The following is a 12,320-nucleotide window of genomic DNA, read 5'->3' on the forward strand; positions in this document are numbered from 1 at the left end:
CTCAGAATAGAACTGGCTTGGATTCCCAGGCAATGTTCTTTCCTCACACCATACTGTTGTTGAAAACAGTGTTGTTTCTAAAAATTACTTTCATTATTTTTTATTGCTGATTAACAATTTTCTCTGCTTTTCAGTACATTCCACGTAACTATTTGATTTGGAAATTTTTTTTGCATATGAAATTAATTCCAGGGCCAGGGTGTCTAAGAAAGCCAGCCCTCCTGCTCCCATTGCCTGCCATGTCCCTTTCAGCACCACAAACTCATCAGAAAATATAGAGAAAACCAAAAATAATCTTAACCTAACCAGATTTACCTCCCAATTTTGACATTGCTTTCATCAGGATCAATGGTTTAAAACCATGTCACTGGTTCCTGGTTCACTGCTTAAAACTGCGACTATAGAAAAGGCCGTCTTTTCCTTTATTATACAGACTTATATTTGTAGATTCCCCAGAAACAAACTCAATAATAAGCCCATAGGCAGTGTGTATAAATTCCTTGCTAAGGCAGTACCCTCCAGTACTCTTCCATTATCCTTTCACTACTTAATCTACCACATCTCTAAGATGTGAGTCACCTATTCAGGTGCCCACCATTTTTCATCACTTAAATTGTGATTTTTTTTTTTTTGGTTCTTTACGCTCATACTTTCACTCTATTTTAATAAGACCCTTGTAAACTCTCTTTATGTGCATTGGCTTGCTGTTTTTTGTTTTTTCTCTTTCATAACATTGGCTGAGAAGGCTCTTGTGTGACACTTAATGAGCTTTTGTTGCTACAGGGACTGGTGGGTGGGCTGGAAGCTAAACCCATTAACTATATCCCACTTTCTTAAACTTAAAGCACTAAAAGTCAAAAGTATACAATAATTCTGTATTGGTCATATCCAGCCTTCCCTTCTCTTGTGGCATCCTGCATTCTGACTAATTCCTGAGGGCCATGTCAAAGGTCCCCACTAGAAGGCCTAATGCTGTAAATGAAGACACACAATGAACTGGGAACTGGCACTAGTAAGTTCGAGATCAGTCCTATAATTTCTTATTGACACACTCCTCAAACATCCAGGTGGTCCTTTCATTTTATGATGTCTATATTTCTACGAATCAATTTTGTTTAGTATCATCTCCTGCAAACAAGAGCCAATAACTCTGCTGGCTCTTCTTTTACCTTTTCATCTCACATAGTGACACTTCTCAATTGGGTCATCATGTTGATAGTCTTATCTTCTGTTACATCAATTTTGGCTCCTGCTTCTTAAGCCTACTCTTCATATATTGTGAGACCATGCTGCCTTTCTTCTGATGCTCTGCCAATGTGATATTACACAACACCTGTGACCGGTGTGGTTGGCCATGGCCAGACCTGACCAGAATAGGCTTCAGTGAGGACCAAAATGGAAACTAGGTCCTGTAGTTCAGGCACAGAAAAACAGAGATTACTCTTGGGCTGACACAGCAAGAATTTCAAGGCCCCAGCACAGAACATGAGCCTTGGTGACATGACATCCTGAATAGGGAAATTATTGCCTTCTGTAGTAAAATGAGTTGTCTCTGGATGCTGAGTAAGTGGCCAGGGAGGTGGGTGTAAAATGCAGGAACCCAAAGTTCTTAACTCTCAAACCTGGTAGCGGTTTCCCTCTGTGTGGGATGCCAAGTCTACAGAACTTAGGGCATGACTCTGAGAGATACACGGGAGGCCGTCAGCAGTCAAGTCATCCCTAGTGTCTTTTTTTTTTTTTTTTTTTTGAGACGAAGTCTCGCTCTTGTCCCCCAGGCTGGAGGGCAATGGTGCGATCTCAGCTCACTGCAACCTCTGCCTCCTGGGTTCAAGCGACTCTCCTGCCTCAGCCTCCCGAGTAGCTGGGATTACAGGCACCTGCCACCACCCCAGCTAATTTTTGTGTTTTTAGTAGAGACGGGGTTTCACCATGTTGGCCAGACTGGTCTCAAACTCCTGACCTCAGGTGATCCACCCTCCTCGGCCTCCCAAAGTTCTGGGATTACAGGCATGAGCCACCACACCTGGCCATCCCTAGTGTCTTTACAAATTATTTACCTCCCAACTTTGACACTGCTTTCATTCAGGATCAGTGGTTCAGTCATCCCTAGTGTCTTTACAAATGCATCTCTAGTGCATTTGTATCCTTTCGGCTGCTGATCTGCTACTTTTACTTTGAGAGTAAACCAAAGGAGACATCACCTCAAAAGGTGGACCAGACTTCCTCAATCAGCCTCTTGTGACTGGAAATCAGCTGTTCCCTTTTTATATTTCCACTGATCTATAAACCTTATCAGGGGGTCTGCAGGCAACATATCAAGGAAGGAGCTCTGTGGTAGGCTTTGCCTCACCCCTTTTTTCACATTCATTTATTTTCCCCATCCCCTTTGTTCTAATTTTAAAACCATTGATCCTGGGCATGTGACAGCATTGAAATGGAATAAAATCATTTATTCTTTCAAGAAATATTTTTTGAGCACCACACTGTGCCAGGCACTGTTTTGAGCAGTGAGGATGCAGCAGTGGACATAAAGAGAAAAATCCTGCCCTTGTGGAGCTGACATTAGTATGTTAGACGAAGAAAAGTGATATGGAGGAAATAAGCAAGAAAGGGAAGTATGGTGTACTAGGTGTTCCCTTAAATAGGGTGGTCAGGGAAAACATCACTGAGATGGCGACATTTGAGGAAAGGCCTGAAGGAAGTGAGGGAGCGATTCATGTGTTATCTTAAGGAAGAGAGTTCCAGGTGGAGAGAATAAGAGGTGAACAAGTCCTGAGGTAGAAACAGGCTTAGGATGTGTTAGAGACAGCAAGGAGTGTCCTATAGGGCGCCTTGCTCCACACCTTTGCTTGTGGGCACTTTGCAGTATCCACAAGCAATTGCAGGATAACTTTTATATATCCACTGTTAGGGAAACAGGAGCCTAGGAAAGCCAGAGTGACATCATTTTAAAACCAACTCTGGCTGGGCACGGTGGCTCACGCCTGTAAATCCCAGCACTTTGGGAGGCCGAGGCAGGTGCATCACTTGAGGTCAGGAGTTCAAGACCAGCCTGGCCAACATGGTAAAACCCCATCTCTACTAAAAATACAAAAATTAGCCAAGCGTGTTGGCGGGTGCCTGTAATCCCAGTCACTCGGGAGGCTGAGGCAGGAGAATCGCTTGAACCCAGGAGGCAGAGGTTGCAGAGAGCCAAGATCGCGCTACTGTACTCCAACCTGGGTGACACAGTGAGACTCTGTCTCAAAATAAATAAATAAATAAATAAATAAATAAATAAATAAATAACCAAAAGACTCCATCTTGAGACTAACAAGGCACGTTCCTTGCTAGTCACCACCCATGGTCCTAAGATGTTTACAGCTAAATAAAAAAGCTTGGCAAGGCCTGCAAGGACAAACTCCTACAACAACAGATAGTTCAGGAGTCCCAATACCCACAACAATATGTTTTCAAGATGCTTTGATATACATACACAGTAAAATGTCAAGGATAGTTTTCTTTAAATCAACAGAATAATAAATTTTGTCATCCTGTCTGCTCACTCGCACATAGGCACAGCTTAATTTAGCCTTTGCATAGACAAGGACCCTATATAAGAAAAACTTAAAGATGGCGTATTCTGCTTGCTTTCTGAGGACACCCTACTCTGTAATGGAGTCACTTTCAATAAGCTATCTCTTCTCACTGTACTCTGTGACTTGCCTTGAATTCCTTCCTGCGTGAGATCCAAGAACCCTCCCTTGGGGTCTGAATTGAGGCCTCTTTTTTCCAGTAACACAACCATGGCTGGAAGAGAAAGTCATGATTTGCTGAAGATCAAACAGCTTTTTAAAATTCACCCATAATGAATATTCTTTCTCCTGCCTTCCATGAACGTTTTCTGTGATATCTCAAGCCCAAGTCCTGCTAGTTATCTTCTAGATGAGGCCCACCGCTAGTCTTGTCTGTATTGAGTATAAATTAGCTGTTAACTATATAAAATCCAAATTCAGTAATGCCAGTGGTATCCAGTTACTAACATCTCTCACCTCCCTTTTAAAAGCATTGTTGTTACACCCAATAATAGTAATAATAATAAGAGGTATCATATACTGAGTGCCTGCCATGTGCTGCAAGCTTTATAGATGCTACATAACTTAATCCCTCAACAACTCTGTGGGGTAAATATTATTATATACATTTTGCAAATGAGGTTGCTGAGGCTCAGGAAGAATGAATGCAATGCCTAAGGTAATATAGCTAGTAAATGGTAGAGCCAGGATTTAAAACTGTGCCTGAGCCAGAAGCTTACTATATACTGTGCTGCTGGTCTCCCTAGATAGGTTGCTTCCTCAAAAATGTGGTGGCTTAGACCTAAGCCTTGGGACCATCTTTTGAAGGTGTGTCTCTTGAAAACTTGGGAGTTTTGGCCTCCATAGTAGGTCCAATCACTATCTTAGACAGCAGCAAGGCTTCATTTTCCCTGATCTTTTCTGTGGTCTTAATTTAAATTTCCCTCTGTTCTAATAAGACTTTACTTACCCTTCCTATATCTAGGACAAATGTTCTATCTTTTGAGAAATTGATCTTAGCTACTATCTGACCAGGATCAGAAAAGTCTGTCTCTTCTCATTTGATTACACAGCACCCTTTGCTCTAGTGCTTACTTCCTAGCAATCCTGCTGACTTAACTTTTTTGTCACTTTTTTTTCCAGAGGTCTTTGTTAAATGACCTTCATTTTAGTGTTCTTCTAGGCCAATTCTAATTTGGCATATTTTTGCTGCCTTCAGATGGTCATCTTTTTTCCTTAATGCAGTTGGCATCAACTCCCACAATCACTATTTGGCCAAATAACCTTTAATATCTTTTCCCATTCGTGTTCCCATATTGCTTTATGAGTCATATTCAATTTTGAGCTTTCCTCTCTCCAATCCATATCCAAGAGCAAATATATCACGAATAATTTTTTCTTTCTTTTTTTTTTTTTTGAGACGGAGTCTCGCTCTGTCCCCCAGGCTGGAGTGCAGTGGCGCAATCTCGTCTCACTGCAAGCTCCGCCTCCCAGGTTCACGCCATTCTCCGGCCTCAGCCTCCAGAGTAGCTGGGACTACAGGCGCCCGCCACCACGCCCGGCTAATTTTTTGTGTTTTTAGTAGAGACGGGGTTTCACCATGTTAGCCAGGATGGTCTCGATCTCCTAACCTCGTGATCCGCCCGCCTCGGCCTCCCAAAGTGCTGGGATTACAGGCGTGAACATTCAACCATTTTCATTCTTCTTAAATCATTTTGCCTTAGGACACCCTCCATTACCACTGCCAGTAAATTAGTGAGTTTCAGTGCTTCAAGGAATGGTTAACACGATATAGAAAACAAGTAGTCCTAACTGGGATTTTATTATCAAATTAGATGTTTAATTCCCTGAGGACTTCTCAGGAAAACAGCAGTCTTGGAGTCAGAGACTTCTAAATTCCTTTTGTGTAGCAAGAGCCAAGCCTGTCACACCCACCAGGATGGCTATAATCAAAAAGAAACAGTGTTAATAAGAATGAGCAGAAATTGGAATCCTCATACTCTGTTGGTAGAAATGTAAAATGATGTAGCCACTATGAAAAGCAGTTCGGCAGTTCCTCAAAAAGTTAAACATAGAATTACCATATGACCCTGCAATTCCATTCCTAGGTATACACCCAAAAGGATTAAAAACAGGTATCCAAACAAAAACTTTTACATGAGTGTTCAAAGCAACACTGCTCACAATAGCCAAAAGATGGAAGCAACGAAACATTCATCAGCAAATGAATGGATAAACAAAATGTGGTAGAGTCATATGATGAAATATTATTCAGTGTTAAAAAGGAATGAAATACTGATACACTGCTATAATGTAGATGAACCTCAAAAACAGTATGCTAAGTAAAATCAGCCAGATACAAAGCAACATATATTGTATGACTCCATATATTGTATGAAACGTCCACAATAGGCAAATACATAGAGACAGAAAGTAGATGAGTGGTTGCCTGGGTCTGGAGGTAGGAAAGTGGATTCACTGTACATGGGCATGAATGATCTTATTGGGATAATGAAAATGTTTAAAAACCGAAAAGTACGGTGATAGTTATACAACTCTAAATTTACTAAAAAGCCATTGAATTGTACATTTAAAACGGATGAATTTTATGGTATGTAAGTTTCACTGCAGTGAAGCTGTAGGAGAGAGAGAGAAAGACAGAGAAAGAGAAAGAGAGAAATTGAAGGCAAGCCTGGAGCCTGGCCAATTGGCATTCTAGAGCTTTACTAGTTCGGGAGATCAAGAGATGATGTAAGTGAAGGGTACACTATCCAGAAACAAAACTGTAGCATTCTGAGAAGTGAGAGACAGAGAGAAAAAAGAAAGGGTAAGAGGCCACAAAGGAAGCAGAAGAACCCATAGATAAATGTGCCACTCTACCCTGCCCCACCACACACCCCATTATCATAAGCGTGGAATCTGGGGACATTTTCCAACAGGTTTAGGGGAAAAATAAAAAACAAAGTGGAATTATTCCAAATTTGGTCTTTGGAACTCTGGGACACCACTGTTGTGGTTTAAATGTTTGTCTGCTCCCAAACTCATGTTGACTTTTAATTGATGTGGTGCCTTTAAGAGATGATTAGGTGATGACAGAACCATCATGAATGGATTCATGCCCTTATTGCAGAAGTGGGTTAGTTATCACAAGACTGAATTTGTAATGAAAGTGAATTTTGCCTGATTTCTTCTCTCTGTCTCATGTTTGCTTCAGCCTTCTGTCCTTCTGCCATGGGATGACCCTCATCAGATGTTGGTGCCATGCTCTTGGACTTCTCAGCCTCCAGAATTGTGAGAAATAGATGTCTTTTCTTTATAAATCACTCTGAGTAACAGAAAATAGACTAAAACAAGCACCTTTCTGAGTGCCCCCTCACTAACAAGGGATAATCATAACAGAAGAAAAATGGATGCAAGGCAGATCTAGGCAGAGAGAGGGCCAAGTCTCCCTCAGCTTTTACCTGGCATAAATGTATCCAGATATTTTCACATGCTCCCAGTGGAGGATATAGAAAATAGCTGGATGTTTACAGCCGGCAGGTCTCCCATGGGGCCACTGCCATGAGGAGCAAGTTGACGCTACTGCAAGGGCCGCAGGTGGACAATCTAACTCTGGGGCTGGATGGAGGATGTGGTTGAGATTCAGAGGGCCTGAAAGGCAGACAAGGGAAGAGGTGAGTCTAAGTCAGCAGAATGGTGGATAACTCTGGGCCTAGATGAGCTGAGAGAATAGACCTTGTATTTCACAAGTCCTGGACTTCATCGTCGAATGCCCGAATAGTTCCCAATGATTGAGGGGGACATTGCTGAGGAAATTACTGCAGAGGCCAATAAGGACCCACACAAAGATGTCCATGTCAACTCATTGCCTCTTCTCTGTCTTAGAGAGGAAGGAGGTAGGTGTGGCGAGTTGAAATTCTAAAACACTGAGAAGTATCCAAAGGAACTCAGTTAACCCAGAAAAGACTTTTTAATGGAAAGAGACTGGTTTTCCATTATGATTTAGCATAGTAATAAGACACGTTGACTTAGTTCTCAATTGAGCACAATGGACCAAGGCCTGTACTTAACTGCTCACTCACAGTGCCCTGAAGAGTCTAGGGGACTATACTGGGCTCTTCAGAGCTCCATGTGAGCCACAGACGTTTATAACATTGGGGATTTAATCAAGATTTCCATAGTGAAGTTGAAAGCCAGGAAGATCTGAGACTGGATTACATAGTTCTTAAAAACAAACAAACAAACAAACAAACAAACACCTTTTTTCTACTAATCACTGGAACAGATTTAGTACCCAAGTAAAAATGCCACATGCTTGAATCCACTTAATAAATAAACATTTAGTTACCTCTAATCCAGTAGTTCCAAATCTTGCATCCATGGATGAACTTTGGGTGGCACATGAGTGCTTAGAAGGTTGAGTGCCAAACTGAGACTATAAATGCGTATGTGTGTGTTTGTGGATAGAGCTTTTGTAACTTTCATGAGTTTCCCAAAGAGGGAAAAAAAAATGGTTAACTACTCATAGAGAGGGCAGTGGAAGCCTGGGAAATGGGTAAGCCCAAAGAATGTGGGGACAGAGGAAGGTCTCATGCAGAACACTAGGAAATCAACCAACTGTAAGATAAGTCAGGTATTTTCACAAAATGATTCTCAAATCAGTGTCGCATAAATTGCAAATGGTTTGATTGAATTTCGTGATGGGAGGTCATTGTTGTAGACTACTGACCTGGAGCTTATGGATGCACTTTATGAGACATGTATACTCTCTGAAATGGGATGTGAAATTTCCTATGTATGTGCATATGAGCATATTTCTGGGTAGATGAGCTATAGATTTCACAGAATCTTAAAGAAGGTCCTTGACCTCTAAGAGGTTATAAACCATTCAGTTTAACTTCTGGCAGTGAAGGTTTCTTCCTATACACAACTCTTATTTTTCTATCTTTATGTAATCTCCTTCTTTCACCTCCTCTTCCTTTCCTCCCCACCCTGTTTCTTTCTTTCTCCACCCACCCCCAACTTTCTCTCTTTTCCTTACAAAGCAATGCAGAAGACTAATGCAGTCCAATCTGAATATGAAAGATGAGAGGAGTGAGCTCAAAGGGGTGATTCCAAGGAGATTAACAAACCTTTTGAAGTGAGGTCTAGCAGGTCGGCTCAGCAAGCAATTGAGTCCTTAACTGGCCCTCAGGAAGAAGACAGCTTGGGGAAGAAGCCATGGAAAGGAAAGCTTAGACTGACTACATAATTAGTATCAAATTAATATACAAGATGAGGTGTCAGCTTTTTGAATGTGTAAGACACTATAAATGAGGAAAGCCATTGCCACCAGAAGGAACACTTAATGGGCTATTTATCATTGTAAAGAAGGCAGGAGGAACTTACTGACTTAGAAGGTTAACCAGAATCCTCATCAAGGGCCTCCTTAAATGAGAATTCAGTTAACAAGGTTTAGACAGCACCTGTCTTCATTAGCAATATAAATATTTCTTTATTACATTTTGGAATTAAATAAAGAATAAGATCAAGTTTCTTCACTGGCTGAATAAGTAGAGATTGATTCTTACCTAGTTGTGTGGATGGCCCTTAGTCTTCATCATTCCCAAGAACAATTCATGAAGCAAGAGCTACCATATGATAATTTTCACTTTTCCAGGACTTCTATCTTTCATAAAAGAAGCTGTCCTTGGCATCAGTGAGAAGTCTCCAGGAACAGACTGACTCACTGACAGAATCGCCTCACAATAATCTGGTATCCAAATGATGCATATTTAACACTATGCTAATTACTTTTCATTGATTTGATTGTCACAAAGCATCTATGATGTAAGTATTATTACCGTCTCTAATTTACTAGATAATGAAACAGTCCCAGTGATGACACATACATACAGATGGTCATACATTTGTTTAAGAGGTAAAATTAATAATTGAAGTCAGGTCTGCCTGATACAAATTACATGTTCTTCCTCCCAATCCATACAATCATTATGACAAAATAATGTGACTAAATTTATGTATAAACATAACAATCTTTCAAAGGAGTCATCTTGTCTGACTCTATTGTACTCATATTGCTTCAAAAATTTTTAGAACTTCAAGAATGTCTTCGTGGTCTAAGAATAATTGTTTTGAATCTTCTCAATGGCGATAAATTTTATTTTTGGGGGAGATTAAAAATATCTTTATTGAGACATAATTCACATACCATACAACGAATTTATTTAAAGTATACAATTCACCAGTTTCTTTACTATTATTTTTTTTAAAATATGGCAAAACATGTATAACAAAATTTGTCATTTAACCATTAAGGTGTACGATTCAGTGGCATTAACTAGATGACTGTATCATTTTATTTTTTTACTGTTATAAGAAATGCTGCAAATATACATCCTTATATATACTTTGTGCAAATGATTCCATAAGATATAAAACTGTCATCTGTGATGGGCCAATGATAAAGAGTGATAAAAACGGGTTGGTCTTTTCCTACGATCACTACATTACCATTAAACATGATTGTTTTTATTTCAATAGGTTTTTGGGGAACAAGTGGTTTTGGTTACATGAATAATTTCTTTGGTGGTGATTTCTGAGATTTTGGTGCACCCATCACCAGAGCAGTGTACACTGTACGCAATGTGTAGTCCTTTATCCCTCACACCCCTCCCACCTTTTCCCACGAATCCCCAAAGTCCATTGTATTATTCTTATGTCTTTGTGTGATGGTGGTAAATTTTAATTCTTTGAGGGAGGAATGCTTTTTGGAAACCAGCAAAGAGTCATTCTATTGATTTAAATGTGATTAAACTGGATAATAAAGTTTGGGCAGAAATAAGTTGTGTTTATAATGTAACATATTTATTTTCTTGCATAGTTCTTATATCAGCTCAGCAGCTAAAGAGTTCATGAATTAATGAGTAGATGGGTATCTTGCTCTGTTTGGGCTTTTATAGGTGAATACCATAGACAGGGCGGCTTAAAACAACCAAAATTTATTTCTTACAGTTCTAGATGATAAGTCCAAGATCAAGATCAAGGGACCAGCAGATTCAGTGTCTGATGAAGTCCTGCTTCCTAGTTCAGAGAGGGTGCCTTATTGTGTCTTCACATGGTGGGAGAGGCAAATGAGCTCTCTGGAGTCTCTTTTATAAGGGCATTAATCCCATTCATGAAAGCTCTGCCCTCATGACCCAATCACCTACCAAAGACCACACTTCCTAATATCATCCCATTGGGGGTTAGGATCTCAACATATGAATTTTGGGGATCACCAACATTCAGTCTCTAGCAATGGTAAACAAATCTCCCAAAAGGATTACAGTTTGACTTTGAAGGTGGATACTCATTAGAAAATATGGGTTCAGATATATCTGCTTTGTTCAATTTTTTTTAGTTATTTAGTGACACCATGTATCTCCTAGCAAGAACATCAGTTGGATTGACTCAAAAGTAACACAGGTGGTCCTCTCTTTAGTAGGTTTCATTTTTATATCTTATAACTCAGCCTCAGACTGGCATCCTCCCTAGAGATAAAACTTGCAAACACAGACTAACCATCAACCAGAAAGATTCATGACAGCAATGTGCAGAGTGAATACTCAAGAATAAATACAATTTAGGAGGAGTTCTTCATCTTATCTGAAGAAAAGAAACTCTGAATCTTTGCCCATTTTTATAACCTAATCTCTTTTTATAAAGTAAAACTTTTGGATGCATCTGTTGAGCAATAAATTTATTTTATCACTTTTCAACCAAATGCTTGGCCCATAGATGTATAACTTCTTGCTAATTTTAAAATCATCTCATTTTTACAGGCATGAAGAATCTGTAATTAGGCAATACATGATTTTTATACAACATTATGTACAGAATGAGACAAAATAAACTATGATAAAATCAACACTTATAGGTTTATTGAAATAATCCAACTAAATCATACATTTGATTACAGCTAAAGGCTTGGTTCTAGTCACAGCATGTACTTTTTCTCAATGTACAGTCTCCATATATTGTCCACCACTAACTCCCTAACTCCAAGCCAACATTTCCCACGTATACTCCTTTCCAAATACCAGACTCATATCCAACTATCTTTTGGACATTTCCACCTGGATGTCCACAGTGAAGACTGTTGTTTACAGCTGTGCAGGCGGTGTACTATATACCTCCCAGAGGAAGGGGAGCCATTTACATAGAACACCATATAAATACTGCCTCCAGGAGTTGTATAACACAACTACCTTGTGTGCGGACAAAACACATCCAAAATTAAACTTTAAAAAGTCCTTCAACCAAAATGACCTTATCTTGCTGAGTTCATTTTTGTTGAACTGATAGTGTTGCCCTTTCTCTGTCACCCAGCATTGAAGTTTAGAAGTGTTTTTGAAAGTTCATCTTGGGCTCTACCTTCAATCACTGACTGAGCCAAGTAGATTCTTACCTTCAAGATGCTTACCAGATCCATCTTCTGTTTTCCTTTCCCAGTGGAAAAACTCCTGACTGTTCCCTCTTAGTTTGGAGTTATAGAATTGTAGATTTGAAAGCAATCATGGATTTTACGGACTCAGGCCAAACCACTCATTTTACAAATGAGGTAACCGAAGTCAAGAAAAGTTAAATGGGCCAGGTGCAGTGGCTGAGACCGGTAATCCCTGCACTTTGGGAGGCTGAGGCAGGCAGATCACTTGAGGTTAGGAGTTCGAGACCAGCCTGGGCAACATGGTGAAACCCCATCTCTACTAAAAATACAAAAATTAA

This window comes from Homo sapiens, chromosome X, assembly GCF_000001405.40.
Source record: "Homo sapiens chromosome X, GRCh38.p14 Primary Assembly".
In the NCBI taxonomy this organism is placed as follows: Eukaryota; Metazoa; Chordata; class Mammalia; order Primates; family Hominidae; genus Homo; species Homo sapiens.